Source organism: Homo sapiens, chromosome 2 (assembly GCF_000001405.40).
Source record: "Homo sapiens chromosome 2, GRCh38.p14 Primary Assembly".
NCBI lineage: Eukaryota > Metazoa > Chordata > Mammalia > Primates > Hominidae > Homo > Homo sapiens.
The window spans coordinates 133,414,744-133,431,906 of record NC_000002.12 but is presented as its reverse complement, the minus strand read 5'-3'; the positions used below and the strand labels follow the sequence as shown (position 1 = coordinate 133,431,906).

General features: G+C 38.2%; 1 protein-coding gene across 17 annotated transcripts in view; it reads left to right on the top strand.

Annotated features, from left to right (window-relative positions):
* Positions 1–17,163, top strand: part of NCKAP5 (NCK associated protein 5) — a 1,003,049-nt gene that overhangs the window by 242,930 nt on the left and 742,956 nt on the right. Inside the window, exon 1 of one of the 17 annotated variants that reach the window (XM_011511102.3) lies at positions 10,105–10,232. The exons of the other annotated variants lie outside the window; for them this stretch is intronic. The gene's annotated coding sequence lies outside the window, so the exon portion shown is untranslated. Of the gene's footprint in view, positions 1–10,104; positions 10,233–17,163 lie in introns of those variants that run through there. 17 annotated transcript variants of the gene reach the window in all.

The window sequence follows — 17,163 nt, the reverse complement described above, 5'->3', positions numbered from 1 at the left end:
CTTCAGTTCTTGAACCTTTATACTCATGTAAATGGATTTGATTCCTTTCCTCAATCCAAGTAAAACTTATTGTTTGTTTCTTATTTTAGTGATAAAAGAAGTTGTGTTTTTCCTTACTTCTTTATCAGCATCATTGCTTTGCCCATCTTTGATGATGGTATTATGAAGAAGGATTTGCTTCTGAAGTATAGGTATGATTGCTACAAATAAAATATGCCTCCTACAAATAAACAAAAACCTTGTTCTGCCATCAAAAAGGCCACTCCTCAAGCAGATTATCCTGGTTCTTTGTGCCTCAGTATCTGTGCAAGCATCGTAAAGCTACATATTCATGCTTACAGCTGCAGAGATCCCAGCTGCCCTCTTCGACAACTTCGGAATGTTTTCTCCAAGAATGAGTCAGTGAAACAGAAAGTTCACATCAAAGAAAAAGCCTTCAGGGCCTCCAAGCTGTATACCTTGGAAACGGTTGTCTACACCTCTCTCCTCTTCTACCTCTAAAAGTCCAGAGTGGGTGGTGATTAAAATGTTGTATCAACATACAGTAATTAATTCTGTACAGGAAGTAGGTTACACATCTGAAGACAACTTGAAATGGCCAGTTTAAATATATAAAACATGGAGAGTATGACTGACCAACCTGGCAGGAAAGCAGCATTCTGTGGGTATTTGCTTTCAGGGGAATTATTATTCAATATTCTGAAGTATTTTTAAATGCAGTGCTAGTTTCCTATCTGTCTCATCAGCACATGGTCTGGAACTGGAAACCTGAATTCATGTTATATTTCCTTGAACTTTGGAAAAATGACCCTAGAAATGAAATGAAGCTTTATTTCCATGAAAAATGAAAACATTGTGTAGCTAGAAAACTCTCTGTCTCTCTCTCTGTCTTTCTTTTTCTTTCTCTTTCTTTTTCCCCCTTTCTCCTAGTATATGATTTATAAGGTCAAAATTTTGGCTTCCTGATGATATCAATTTAACAATTTCAGACCTGTAGAAAGGAAGAATAGGCTTCCCTCACTCCTCCTTCCTTCTCCCTCTCCACCCCCACCCCCACTATTTAATCCACCTTAAGGACCCAGTGATAACTCTCAGATTATACCCATTTGGGAGATTTTTTATTCATGTATCAACAACCATGCACATACACAGTTGGTGCTGGTACAAAAATAGACATATAGACCAATGGAACAGAATAGAGAACACTGAAATAAAGCTCTACACTCATGACTAACTCATCTTCAACAGTCAACAATAATAAGCAATGGGGAAAGGACTCCCTATTCAATAAATGGTGCTGGAAAAACTGGCTAAGTATATGCAGAAGAATGAAACTGGACCCCTACCTCTCATCATATGTAAAAATTAACTCAAGATGGATTAAAGACTGAAACGTATGACCGCAAATTATAAAAATGCCAGAAGAAAACCTAGGAAATACTCTTCACGTCATTGGCTTAGGCAAAGAATTTATGATGAAGACTCCAAAAACAAAAGCAACAAAACCAAAGGAGACAAATGAGACTTAATTAAACTAAAGAGCTTCTGTACAGCAAAAGAAACTCTCAACAGAGTAAACAGACAAACTACACATTGGGAGAAAATATTTGCAAACTATGCATCCAAGAAAGGACTAATATTCAGAATCTACAAGAAACTTAAATGAGTCAACAAGAAAAAACAAATTTATTAAAAAGTGGGCAAAGATAATTGTATATACCTACTATGTACCCACAAAAATTAAAAAATCAAGAAGAGCAAAGGACATGAACAGTTATTTCTCAAAACAAGACATAGAAGCAGCCGACAAACATATGAAACAATACTCAACATCACTAGTCAGAGAGATGGAAATCAAAACCACAATGAGATACCATCTCACATCAGTCAAAATAGCTATTATTAAAAAGTTAAAAAATAACAGATATTGGTGAGGTTGTGGAGAAAAAGGGAACACTTATACACTGTTAGTGGGAATGCAAATTAGTTCAGCCCCTGTGGAAAGCAGTTTGGAGAGTTCTGAAAGAACTAAAAATACAATTGCCATTTGACCCAGCAATCCCATTATTGGGTATATACCTAAAGGAAAAGAAATCGTTCTACCAAAAAGATACATGCACTGTATTGCCATGTGTTCATCATAGCACTATTCACAGTAGCTAAGACATGGAATCAACCTAGGTGCCCATCAACGGTGGATTGGGTAAATAAAATGTGGTACATAAACACCGTGGAATACTATGCAGCCATAAAAAATAAAATTATGTCCCTTGTAGCAACATGGATGCAACTGGAGTCCATTATCCTAAGTGAACTAACACAGAAAAAGAAAACAAATAGTGCATATTTTCATTTATAAGTTGAAGCTAAATCTGGGGGGCACACAGACATACAGCTGGGAACAGTAGACCTTGAAGGAGGGAGGGAGGCAAGGACTAAAAATGGAGGGATGAAGAGGGGGAAGGACTGTAAAACTTTTTATTGGTTACTATATTCACTATTGGGGTGATAGGATCATTAGAATCTCAAACCTCAGCACCACACAATATACCCTTGTGACAAACCTGCACATGTACTGCATGAATCCAAAATAAAAATGGAAATTAAAAAAAAGTAGCTCCAAATTAAAACAAAGCAAAGCAAAATCATCTAATACTGTTGTTTTTACTTGCTTTTTTAACATAACATCTTATCATGAACCTTCTTCTGAGGCACTGTATTTAGAATGGCCTTACCCTTTGTAACTCCTGTATAATATTCCACATGGCATAATTTCTGCAACTGTCCACCCACTGGTGGTTATTCAGAATCTTTCCAGTGTTGTGCTGTTATAACCGTCCCGCAGAGGGCATAAATCCTATGTGGTCTTGCATTTATTTTCACAGGAGAGATTCCTAAAAGTGACTGCTGGTCCAATCATATGTACATTTTAAATTAATATTGCCAAATTAATTTCTAAAAAAATTATAGGAACTTCATTCTTTCTCCAACAGTGTATTCAACTGCCTAGTTCCCAACACTTTTAATAACATTTAGATACTATTAGTATTTATAATTTTGGTCAATCTAATAGGTAAAATATTGTTCAATTTGTAGTTGACTGACTATAGTAGCCTATATTTTCAAATACGTATTGTCCAGTTGCAGTCTTTTATAAATTGTGTGTTTGTATTCTTTGCCCATTTTTCTACCGGAGTCTGTTTCTAGTGCAAATTGGAAATATTTTGGGTGTTTTAGCTTGGTTCATAGTATCTTTGTGTAAACACGTGATGAGTTATGTAAATTATGTCTATTTTTCCCTTTATGGCTTCTGAGTTGAATATCTTATCTCTTTTACTCCGAGTTTATAAAAGTAATTTAATATATTGTTTCACAATGCTCTTGCTTTTCAGGGTTTTGTTTTGCACTTCTAACTTAAATCCCTCAAGAATGGGTTTTGCACATTGTGTAAAATAGGGTTCTAATGAAATGTTCTTCCACCTACAAAGCAAATACCCTCATATAATTTACCGAATAATGTAACTTACTGATTAACATGATTTTCTTACTCATCTGAAATATTAGTTTTATCAAAATTTTATTAATATTATCATAATTAAGTTTCTGGCACTGTTTCTGGACATGGTTCTAGACTTCTTATTCTGTGCCAGTGATTTATTTTCCCTGCACTAGTAGCAATTAGCTACTGTTTTGGTGATAGTATTTCAAAGTGTGTTTTAATATCTTGTAGGACAAAGCTTCCTTAAAGGTTTGTGAATATTCTTGAATAGTTATTCTTCCACATGAACTGTAGAGTGACTTTTGCCTAGTGCCCGTTCTTTCAAAAATAATCCTGTTGTAATTCTTATTAGAATTATATCACTTATGTATTACTTTGGGAACAATCATCACTTTTATGATAATACCTGTATCCAAATATACATTTATTTCTACTGTTAATTCATATGCAAGTTTTAAACATTTTCCTCATATAGGTCTTCTTTGAACTATCTGGGTAAAATTTATTCCTAGATGCATCAGAATTTCAGGATTTTGCTTTTAATTTTCTTTTCTGTTACTATATAGTATAAATAAGCATGATAACCTTTTATATGTATCTTATTTCCAGTGATCTTGATGTATTAATATAAGAAATTTAATTGATAGATTTTTTAATGCTAACATATTTTTATATCACTAAAATAAACTGTGCTCGGTCATATCATATGTGATTTTCTCACATTGCATTGTGATTTTCTTACAAGGCTGAATACAATTTGCTAACATTCTATTTAAAATGTTTCTATTTAATTTTACAACTGAAATTAGAATTTCTTTTTCTGTGCTAGTTTTATCAGAGTTTCTTTATCTGTGCTAAGGATCTGCTGGCTCAGTAAAGTTAATTATGAAAATGTTTATATTTTGCTCTTTTCTGGGACAAATTAAATTATATGGGAATTATCTATTTCTTAAAATTTAAATAAAATCAGACTGTCATGCTATATTTGCCTATTTTAAAACTATAACATTTTAGTGACAGTTTTATTACCTTACCTTCTTTTGTGTACTTCTGTCTCATACTTCTTGTATTAATTTCAGTCATTAATGTTTTGCTTAAAAAATACCCATTTTCAAATGCAGTGTCACTCACATAGTCTTATCATTTTTCAAATTGTCTTCCTACTCATTTATGTCTGTTATCTTAGTCTTTATGTTGTATGCTTTTATGTTTGCTCCTTAATCAGAATGACAGAGAGTTACCTGTTTTATTTGTCTTTTCAAATAACCAGCTTTCAGTTTAATTGATTCTTTGTTGCTTTTGTGTTTTGATGTTGTGCCTGTGCTAGAATATCTTCCCTGAGATTTTTGCATGGCTCTCCCTACTGCATTATGAAAAACTCTCAGCTCAAATGCTGCAGGGAAAATTTGCTGACCGCCTTTCCTGGCTACCCTCCCAATCCCAGAACATTGTACTGCATTACACTACTTTATGTTCTGTATATCACCATCAGAAATTATCTACTTATTTTAAAAATTTAAAATAGACTTTTGTGTGGTTTTAGAACAGCTTGAGATTTACAGAAAAAAAATGGAAAGATAGTACAGAGTTCCCATATACCTCTCATCTAGTTTCTCCTATTATTAACATCTTACATTAGTATGGTACACTGGTCACAATTAATGATACACTCTTATTAACTAAAGATCATACTTTATTTGAATTTCCATACTTGAATAAGGTATGATCGTTAGAACCATTTTTGCATCCCTGGGATAAATCCTGCTTGGTCACAAGGTATAATCTTTTTGATGTGTTGTTGAATTATTTGGCTAATACTTTGTTGAGGATTATTACATCCATGTTCATCAGAGATATTAGCCTGCAGTTTTCTTATAGTGTCTGTATCTGATTTTGGTATTAGATGATGCTGGCTTCTTAAAATAAATTTGGAAATAGCCCCTCTATGTCTTTTTTTTTTTTTTTTTGGAAGACTTTAAGAAGGCTGAATGTGTAATGCATTTATTTTCTATCTTTTTTTTTTAAATAAAAGCATTTAAGGCTATATATTTTCCTCTGGATTTTACTGCATCACAGTTTTGATATGAGGTGTTCTCCATTGTTGTATTTATGTCTAAATAACTTGAACTTTTTTTTTTGAGATGAAGTTTGGCTCCGTTGCCCAGGCTGGAGTGTAATGGTGTGACTTCGCCTCACCACAACCTCCGCCTCCTGGGTTCAAGCTATTCTCCTGCCTCAGCCTCCCAAGTAGCTGGGATTACAGGCACGCACCACCACGTCCAGCTAATTTTTGTATTTTTAGTGGAGATGGGGTTTCACCATGTTGGCCAGGCTGGTCTTGAACTCCTGACCTCGTGATCCTCCCGCCTTGGCCTCCCAAAGTGCTGGGATTACAGGCATGAGCCACCGTGCCTGGCCTGCATTTTCTATCCTTGGTTTGGTTAGAAGACTGTTTTTTAATTTAAAGGCACTTGAGAGTTTTTGTGTTTTTTGCCTTTTCCTCGTTCACTTCAGGGAATTTTCAGTGTTTTCTTTGTGGCCACATGCATAATTATTTTCTGTGAATTTTTATCCCATAAGCATAAAAGAAGACTGTGCATTTTCTGTTTAGCATACCAAATATCCATTTACATGCAAATACAAACTCTGTGCTCAGTCCTCTTCTGACTCCCCATTTGAAATATTTAGAATTTGGTTTCAGACTCTTTTTGTATTTCCCACAATAATATGCATCTTCTGTTTTAGGAAGGAAAACTTTTTAACCTTCATACTATTGCAGTTCTCTATATGTTATTGTCATTCATTTTGATTTCACTTTATCATCTAGTAATTTTTGCTTGTCACTTCTTTTTATCTTTCTTTTGCTCTGCCCTCTTTTTCCCTTTTGCCACAGGGCATCTGTTTCCAGTGTTATCTAGGCCTGAAATGCTCTCCCTATAATTGTAATCTTTTATTCCCTCATTTTCTGATATAATCCATAAGCTGACTACCCCCCTGATTACTTTCCAAGGATGTTTCACGTACATACTGTTTTCTGACTGGCTCTGCCTCAGACTCCTATGTTCAAATACCAGTTTCTTCTCCACATAGGTGTTTATTAGACTTCTCAAATCTCACAGTCAAAATAGTCCTCTCAATCTGTATGTTAGAAATTCCCTCTATCCCCATTCTTCACCTGTGCGATAATGTTTCAGATGTAAACCATTAAAACCTAGGCAACACCCTGGGTTTGATCCCCTAACCAGGGAGATGTTTGGAACAGAGGTTGGTGACTAACTGTGCATAGAGGGGAATTCCCGCAGACTGACTGCTCCACTCTTTGAAGTGGGCCCTGGCATCCAACAAGGCTCCCTTGTAGGAAAACCATTTAATCATTGGCCTCATTTAGAGTTTAACTATATTTTATGGCCTTCTCAGCTCTGAAGTTAAAATTCACAAGGCCCAGAAAACATCAATTACAACAATGCCTTTCATTTTTTTTGTCAAAATGCTTTGAATTGCAAGACTGTTTTTTATTTATGACTGTATCAAGTGTTTTTATGGAGGCTGGTTTGCCCTTCCCCTAGGCTTAAACAAATTCTAAAACAGGACTCCTCAAACTGTCACGTGCCTCAGAACCACTAGGGATTTTGTAGAAATGCAGATTCTGATTCAGGAGATTTAGGGCAACCAGGTTCGTCTACTTCTAACACGTTCCTAATGAGGCTACATTGCTAGCCCTACAGACCACACCATGAGTAGCAAGGCAAAGTAGCAAGTAAAATCCTTCTAGGTTTTTACATTTTTGTTTTGGGTTTAGTTTCTGAACCCCACACAAAAAGTCAAATCTCTATACTTAATGAAAACATTTTATTTTTCACATCACAATTTTTACTCACCTTGAAAACTCATCTATTAAGCCTGGCTACAAATGATAGCTATTTCAAAAAGTCAACTGAATTTTAAAGAATCAGAACTTGCTGGCTCAGACAAGATGCGTAATTATTTATCATATAATATGAAATCACTTCCAAGATGGTGTTCCGACATTATCTGAGTAGTAGCAAGTTGGGTGGCCATCTTGGTCGGCCAGGGACTTTTCTGGTGTTGGCACTGACAGTCACACTGATTGGGAAACCTCTGAGGCCTGAGAAAATTGAGAGCATTAACAGCAGCCTGAGAAGGACTCTTTTGTGACCCTGGACAAGTTATAGGGTCTTAACCCTATAACTATGGGTTTAAAAGGCACAGTACTCCCTGACACCTATGAGTTTTGGTGTGTACCTTAAACAATCCATCACTTTAGTTTCAGTAGAGCAGGTTTAGACCCTAATTATGGGATTGACTTGCCCAGGGTCACATTAAATTAACTGTGGCTTCAAGTTCTCTATCTATACTTTTCTGCCATGATGAGTGCACAATACCAGTTGCTTTCTAACTTGGATGAATATTATTCAATTGGATTTGGAGAAATTAGTCTTGCTTTAGAACTTCTCTTTAAGACTTCTTATTGAAAACAAAATGCAAACAAACAAAAACCTTCCCTTTCTTGTATTTTGTAAAGCTGAGTACACAAGAGATAAATAGAATTCATTTTAAATATTCTCTTTTGAAAGTTGAAGTTTCTTATGGTTTACTTCTGGAAATGTTAGTTGTATTTGCTAGTTATTTTCCATGAGCTGATAGTTATCTCACCAGTCACGACATGCATAATATTATTTGAAAAATTTACTTCATGTGGGCTAAAATTTACTAAAACTGCCTTTAAAAACCAACTAAAGGTCACATAGCACCTTGTCCTTCTAGTGGGATTGCAAGATAAATGTCAAACATCCATTCTAATTGGATCCAGAAGTCCCTGGGCATTTGGCAATTAGTAGTAACAATTCCCCAATTAATAACATATAATATTCCTAATGCCAAGTGTGTTATATGTTAGTAAGCAAAAAGGGTTCTGAATAAGTCTTGGTTTAAAAAAAAAGAACAGGCTTGACTGAGGTGCAGCTTCACTTCACTTCAGTTTCATGACGATTCAACATTCAATGCGAATGTATTAATGGGCTGAAATCAAACTGTGCTTCCAGGATGTGAAGGAGAGGTCTGGAGTGTCATTCTGCTTACAATCACTGACTGGCTCAAAACGGTCTTGAGCCACAACCAAGAAGCAGGCATTAGCTATGGGTCATCAGTTTTCACTGGAATGGTGGCAATGTCAGTTAGTATTTGTCAAAACCCTAAATACCTTGTAGTAAAATATTGCAACAGACTGTAAATGTTCGTCTTGGAAACACTTGGGGAAGTGTGCATGTGGAACTAGAAAATTGTCTGAGAAAGTGACTAATAAAGCTGCTTCCATGCAGAGAGGCTCCTGAGCTTGGAACATGTCCCAAATTAGATGTATTGAGATCCCCAGGCTGTGTTTTGCAATTCAAATATACCGGGACTTTCCGTGGCAGCCTCTTAGGCTTCCCGGTGGTGGGGTCCTTTGAATGTTCACACATAAATGGGGGTCTTTGTTCTCTGGTGCATGAAACTGCAGTAAGTTTTGGTAGAAAAGGGATTGCATGGGTACATTTGAGAGCCATGCTTTGGTGGTAAATTCAACCTTAAAAAAAATCCCAAAGTGAATAGCTTTTGAGGCTTCTGATCACAGACGAAGTTAAAGGCTGCAGTTTTAGTGATGCCAAGTGGTTCTGCATATCTATCTCTATTATTTAAAAGAGCCATCAACACTTCATTAAGTGTCAGGAAATGTTGCCTTAGAAAAGTCATAGAGAGATTAGGAGGGCATGTGAGAGATCCCTGTTTACCTTTGGCCAAGCCTGTTTGTACCAGATTAATTCCTTTGACCAGAGAAAAATGTTACTCTGTGACCTGAATTCTTCTTTTCTTGGTCCTGAAAATGGGTCACAGACACTTCCTTTATTCACTGGGTTTATCTGCTCTCTCGGCTCTTGGAAGAATCCCCCTCGATTTGTAGCACCAAGGGATCTATAGGATACAGCCAGCTTTCACTGTTGAGACATCTTTGTTCAGGACACAACTTACCAAAAAACAAAAAAACAACAACAACAAGAAAGGGCTGCCCTCTTTGATTTAATATTCTGCACTTTGCCGTGGCATTTATGTAAGCAATCCTGTTCATCTGTAGGAACATAGAGCAACCTGTGCTGGGAGTAAGCTCCTTGAGGACAGAGGCCATGTATGCATCATCCTTTTGTCTTCCTGATATAGCCTGGTCCATTAGAGATGTCACTCTAAGTGTTGCCATCTTTGGGAATTCTCTGGCTTTGTTTGCTCCATACCTCCCCAGCCAGCCTGGAATGGGAGTGTCCCCTGCACTCTGTGCTCTAGCACAATAGCACATACCACATTATTTTGTCTGTTTCCTCCACTAGAATCTGGGGAGTGGATCTTTCAGTTCTCTATCCCCAATGCCAAATGCAGTAGGTGCTGAGTACATGTGGAAAGAAATGAATGAGTGGAAGGCACTAGATAAAGGTTAGCTGAGTTGAATTGAATAGAGCAGGCACACCCTCTAGCTATCACTGGGTGGGATTTAGTGCAGGTGATGTAATGTGACTTGACAGCGTAGTTAAATATTGACAGACAGGAGGAAGCACACTGGCCCTGTTCAGAAAGAGGAAAGTAAGGGCTGACTGAGGCTGTCAGATCAGAGAGCTGAGGCTGGAAGTGGCTACAGTGGTCCTGATGACCCAGCTGAGGTCACTGGTTGGCTCTTGCTTCAGTAGAGGTAAGATTTGGATCCTGGCTGGGAAGATAATGGATTGTGATGTGAGTAAACGCAGGCTGTGCCTGTGGCTTGGAGATGGCTTGTATCCCAGACGCTCTCTGCTGGCTGCCCACTTGTATATAGCTCAGACTGATCCTCATTTAAGGCAAGGAACATGAATTCTATTTGAATCTCTCTCCCTTCTCCTCACCTTATCCATGCTCCCTAATGATCTGTGCTTTAATGTAACCTCTTAAAGTGATTGGGGCTGGATGCTGATTCATGCATTTTGAATGCTCAGGTGAGGAATTTGTACATATGAATTAATTTGTAAGCACTATTCGATGTTAATGATTAGAGACATGTGTAACAAAAGAATTAGGAGGCGTAAACATGTTCACTGCTACCTGGATGCTGCTTTATATAGGCAGGGGTGGGGTAGGGAGGGAAAACTGCATTAGACAATGTTTTTAGCTGTAATGTGGAATGAGGGAGCAAGCAGAGGTGAGTTCAAGGAGGATATTGGGTAAATGAGAAAATGCCAACAGACAGCAGACAGAGAATTGTTTTAGGCGAGTCTAGCTCTGCATTTAGAAAAGCACTCATGTCACCTTGAGAAAAAAAGGCCCCATTTGACTTTAGAAAGACTGTTTAGTCAGCTGGCATGGCTCAGGGTAGCTCTTTAGGAAAGAAGAGTTGGTATCCTGCTCATCATTAAATAGTCACATGAGGCAATAAGAACCAGTGGAGGCAAGTCTCTATTAGTTCCTTGTCTTTAGAGAAGGAGAAAACGCTGCGTGACTGCTGAGCAGCAGTGGGGCGAGGCAGGCTGTTTGAGAGTCAAATCTGGTTCAGAACTCAGCTTCGCAAGTGACGAGGTAAGGCAGCCTAATCTCTGTGAGCCTTTATTTCTTCATCTGTGAAATGGACAGAATAAAACCTCCTGGCGGTTTGCTGTGAGGCTTGAATAAAATATATAAAAAAACACATCAGACTCTACCTGGCCCGTAGCAGCTCACCCAAAAATATTATTTCCCTTTTCCTGATTTCAAAAGCCTTATCCTATTTTATCTTTTTGAAGTAACATTTTTATTGAGATATAATTTACATACATACTTTCCACCCATTAAAGTGTACTATTCTCAGAGTTGTGCACCCATCACCACAATCCAGTTTAGGTTGTTTTCATCACTGAAAAAAGAAACCTCATAACCAGTATCAGTTATTTCTCATGTCCTCCCAATGTCCCAGCCCTAGCCTAGCTGGCAATAATCTGGCTGTTTGGAATTTGCCTATTCTGGACATTTCGTATAAATGGATTGTACAATATGTAGTGGCTTGCAACTCGTTTCTTTCACTTACCATAATATTTTCAGGATTTCTCCATGCTGTAGTATACATCAGTGCTTCATTTTTTAATTGCCAAATAATACCCCATTGTACAAGTATAGAATACTTCTTTTATCATTGATGGAAATCTAGGTTTCTACATTTTGGCTATTATAAATAATGCTACTATAAAATTCATGTACACATTTTTGGGTGGACAAATGTGTCTATCTTTTTAATAGTGTCTTAAAACTAATAGATTCTCTTACCCCATCTTCCCTAAAAGATATTAGAAAACACAGTAGAGAGTATGAGGGGAGGCCCCCTTTTACTCAGCAGAAATGGACAGAAATGTCAACATGGTCATCACTTTCCTTCAGAATACTGGAATACAAAAGTGGGTCTTCAGCAATGTTTAGAGTCTTATGCAAAAGTGAGTAAAATAAACCAGTCTCTTGAACTGCTTTGTGAATGCGTGTATGTCTCCAGGGCTATACACATTATCACTACAGGATCAGAGGTATGTCATATATGCATGTGGTCATTATGTTTTTTTGTTTCTTTGTTCTTTGCAGGAATAATTGTGAATGATTTTGCTGAGTAGGAAAATAGAAGCAGCATGTGGTAGGGAAGGGTTTGCAAAATTAAATGTGTAAATAGCCCAGGAAAATCATACAAATGAGTGAAATGGATGGTTAAGAGAGCATCTGTGTGAGTATGGAGATACGTTCTAAATCACCTATGGCTTCATCATCAGGGAGACGTTAGGGAGTGGTAATGAATGTGGCAAACAAAAGAGTACTTTTCATCTAAAAAGGGAAGGAAACATTGGAACTCCAGCTGTAGGCTCATGTACTTATAATTATGTTCCATGTAGGTACATGGCTCACCTAACCATGTCTTCTAGTTTTTCAAGATAACAAATTTAAAATTATTTTAAAAAATCCACTTTGTGGGCCAAATGAAATATGCCTGTGAACCATATTTACCCCATTAGAGATCAGTCTGTGGCCTTTCCAGTGGGATAAATCATATCACTGGGCAACCACAAGATTTGGGGACAAATTCCAATATTGTCTCCCTACTAATTCCATTACTCTTTGTTTCTATTTCTTGGACCATCTATTTCTTATTTGGAAAATAAAGGAATTTGGTAAAATGTGCTCACATGGTCCTTTTTACCTTGAACATTCTAGAGTGGCATGACTGCCACAGTTGAGGGTTCCGTCTCTGATTGCAGCAGCACAGAAGCATTAGGGACAGAAGAACAGAGTTCCAACTGACTACAACCTTAAGAAGCAGGCGTGCTCTAAACAGCCTCCTTTACATGTCTTGTAGTGCAAATCTGCTTGGGACACAACCTCTCAGCCTTTATCTGAAAAGGTCTTTTGAGTTTGCCTTCATTTTTAAAAGAATTTTCTCTGTAGAAGGCTTTTTTTCTTTCATTGTGACTCAATATGCCCTCGGTCTGAACCCACACTAAGGGTAAAAAATTCCATCACTTTATCACTGTGTTGAAACACTGAGGTTTATTTATTTGTTTATTTCAAAAGTTCTTTAAGACTGACCTATTAGAAACACTAACGGCAATGGAGTTTTCTAGTTCTGTTATTTGAAGATTTCATGGAGAAACGTTTCCAATTGAAATGACCCAAACTGCAGAGGTCACAGTTTAATCAAAGAACTGGGTGTTTGCCTTGCACTGGTATATACCACCCAGTTTTGCTTGATGTTGGGCTGTAGACCTGGGAGAGGCAAGAATAAAATAACAGCCCCCATACCATCTTGAACTCTGTTCTTGAATCCTCCGTTTGTCCCCTGATCCTTCTCTTTTCTCACTCCTAGTCTGGTTGGGGAGTAACTTTTTAAAACAATGCTAAGAGAGCCAAGCACTTTTGTATTTGGGAGTAGCCCTGAGGTCTGAACAGTCTAATTACTACATACTTGGGTACAGTGTGCTTTTTATTCCTTTTATAATTTGTTCCTCCAAGCCATCCTATGAGGTAGAACAGAGCTATTGTCTCTGTTTGACAGTTAAGGAAATTGAGGTTCTGTGCTTGTTGGAAGTCTCAGAGTTGTTTAGCTGCAGAACTGGAATCAGAATGCCCATCACCCAAGGTACTTGTCAATCACTTAGCCACAAAGACAATTCCTGTCTCAGCTAAGTAAATCATTAAAGCAAGGTCAAAGAAGTCCTGTGTAGCAGCTTCTGATGCTAGCCTCTGAGAAAATATCCGTTGTAAAGAGCAGTTTGCAAAGGCTTAAATCATATGTTGCACATATTTAAGTGAAGTGGGTCTCAACATTTTTTCCTATTGACTCCCTACATCCGAGCAAGTTTGCCTTCAAACCTCTTGACTGAAAAATCACAGCTTTAAAGTTCATCTAAGAAACGTATTCCCTCTGTCACTAACTTTAGCGTCTAACAACGCTCCCTGTTTGAAATGTTTTCCTTATGTCAACCAAATTTCTCACATTGCAGTTTACATTCATTTTCTCCTACGCCTTTTCTTCTCACTCAAAATGTCGGACAGCTGGTCACATTCACGACATAATAGCTTTTTCACCATTATGGCCTACTTGACCCACCCCACCTCCAGCCTTCTCTTCTCCAGGCAAAATAATACCAGGGCTATTTAGCCTTTGCTCCCAGGTCCTGTTGTTCCATCCTTTGATCTACACTGTGGTTCTCCTCTGAATCATCCTGTTGGAGGCCCAGGAGGACAATAGCTCCATCTTGTCAAAAGCTCACTGAGGCCTCTCAACTGAGAGGTAACAAAGCCTGGGGCTCCCATCCCAACCCCTTGGATTAGCATATTTCCCACATTGTGCACCTCGACAGCTCTCTGCTGGGAAGGACACCTGCCACTGCTCTGGCAGTTCACGGTCACTTGCCAGACTGACCCACTGTGCTCGCAAAATAAACCTGGGAAAGTGGGCCTGGGGTCGATTCCAGGCTGCGCAGTCTTTAGGAGTGCTGTGGGCTCACCTAGTAGGAGAGAAGTGCATGTCTTCCAGGGGTGTGAAGGAGGCAATCGGGGTTAATGGGAAATTGCGCTTTGAATTGCCAAAAATGAGATACTGAGAGAGCTGGCCATTCTGGGCCCTCTAGGACTGATCTGAACAATGTTCCACGTGTCGGGGGCCAATAATCAAAAATAGCCAAATGAGTCAAATGGAAGAGTTGCCTGTGGTCCTTAAAAGAAAGAAACAAACAAAACACTGCCTTTTTTTTTTTTTTTTAACATACTTTCCAGGGCAAAAAAGAAAGATATTTTCATTATTCATATCAAAGAGTAAGGAGAAAAGTGTTTTTTTATTTTAAGCAACATTTCAAAAGCAGAGTATCTGGCAACGCTTTTACTAAATCTTGTGTTTCTCACTCTCATTCTAAGCATTGCCCCACCCTCAGATGCGTGCAAGACCAAATGTTTGGCAGGGAAAGGAGTTTTATAAAATAAAAAGATGCTACACTTGGAAGCCTCTTTTTCCAAACCTCGAGGAAGTTGCATGTTGCTTTGGAACTAGAGTTTTCTCCAGGATAAACTCATTTGGTCCAGGGGCATGAGCTGCCTCTCATCCTAAGCTCGGAATGGTGAGTCTGAGCTGAGTAGAAATGCTTTGACATGATAAAAACAAAAACAGCCTCTAAAAATTCCACAGGTGGTGGCTATTTCAGTACAATGTGAACCTAACTTTTTTTTTTTTTTGCATAATGCCAAAGCAGATTATTTCCAATGCCAAGTTGAGCATTAGCCCTCATCTCTGAAAGTCTAGTTTAACAGTAGAGTGTAAACCCTAATCTTTCAGAACTAGAGCCTTTCCAAGAAGCCTGAAGTTTCCATTTGCTGTGATCCTTTTTACAAAGAGCACAGAGAAACAGCATTTTTTCTCTTTTATGGCTGTCAGGTTCTCAGAAATCATGAAGGTAGTTTTCTGAATGTGAAAAAGTTGTTCCAGAAAAATGTCATTTTCATCCCTATACATTGATAAATGATTTCTAAAAAACAAATCCAAAGGGTATCTCTATTAAGCCCATGTGGGAAATTTCCCATCTCTTGGAATCTGGAAAACGGGACACATGTTTTTGCTAGGAAAGGATGACTAGAGTGGAATTTCCACTAGTTTTATTCTCTGAAGGAAAGGTCTTCATCTATCTTAGTGCTGATTACACCCAGAGCTCCACAGAGCGCCTGGCATAGAGGAGGTGTTTTCTAGATATTTGTTTAATGTATAATAAGCTGCCAAACTATGAAGAGGTAGGAGAGACCTGACGTTTATCAGAGCCAAACAGAAACTTGACATATCTCAGTAACAAAGAGAAACATCACTAAATGAACATCAGAAATATTTTATTCCATGTGACTACTGGTCTAACACACTTATTTCACCAAAATCCAAACAAGTTGTTTATGATCTACCACTCACAATGTGTTTTACTTTTGCTCAGATAAACTCATCTCTGGGAATCAAAACCGCATTTGATCTCTGTCCATATATCTGTAACTCTACAGCTATTCAAAATAAATGTATCATTTCAAAAAATGGAAAGAGAAAATAGTTGTTTTCAAAAGCCTCACAAAGAGAGACTTTGATACAGATAGGGGATGTGTGGTTGCAACAGTGCATTTGAATAAGAAATAAAAATAGCACTTTGAGGTCAAGCTCTATGTTGGGGATTGGAGTTTAGCTTAATTAAGGAAGCTGCAAATTATTTGCACGTTCTGCAGCCCAGTGGTCAGTGGAACCCCTGGTGACCAAACACACTTGTTCAAAGTGAGAGCCAGAGCCTCCTTTGACCTATACATGTATTATCTAAGGGAGTATGGTCAGCTGGCTCCCAAAGTGACCTGGGCCTGCAGCTGCTCTGCCAGCTGGCTATCACAGGCTTGCAGCAGAAAACTTGGAGAGGACTCATGGCGTCACCAGATGCCTTATAGCAGAGTCCAGCTGATGCCCCACACAGAGCAAACCAGTTCCGTGTTTCATATGAAATGATTTGGCTTGGATGTCACAGCCATTACTTTCAATACAGTAGAGTAAGTATCTCACATTAATAATTTAATTTTCCAGATGCATGACTGTGGTCAGATTAGTGGCCACTGGCAACAGCCAAATCTCAGACTGCAGGCATTTTGCAAGGAATTTCCAGGATATAATTTCTTTGGCCATGACATGGTACAAATGGCAACATGAATAAGTCCATTTCGGCCAGTGTGAACTGAGGCAGCATCAGCGGGGGCAATGGGGTTGAGCTAACCTGAGTAACCAAACTGAATCAATCTGAGACATAATGGACAGCAGCCGCTTGGCCTGTGTATTTACCAATTTGTAAAACAGCTAAGCATAGAGTGAGCATATTGCAGGTCAAAGTTCAACACTAGGGCGGGATTGAGAGAACCCTGTCAGTGAATCCTTATCTCAGGCCACTGAAGGGACCATTAGCCAGGACCTACATCTGCCCCTGAATTTTAAATGTAATTTAACTCTCCTGATAAGTTAACTCATGTGTTAAGGAATACGTAAAAATACCATGCTTTCTCCGTATTATTAGTTTGTGTGCTATAATATTCCACCCTTCATAGACTCCTTGGGAGGAAAATCTAATTTTCATAGTAAAATT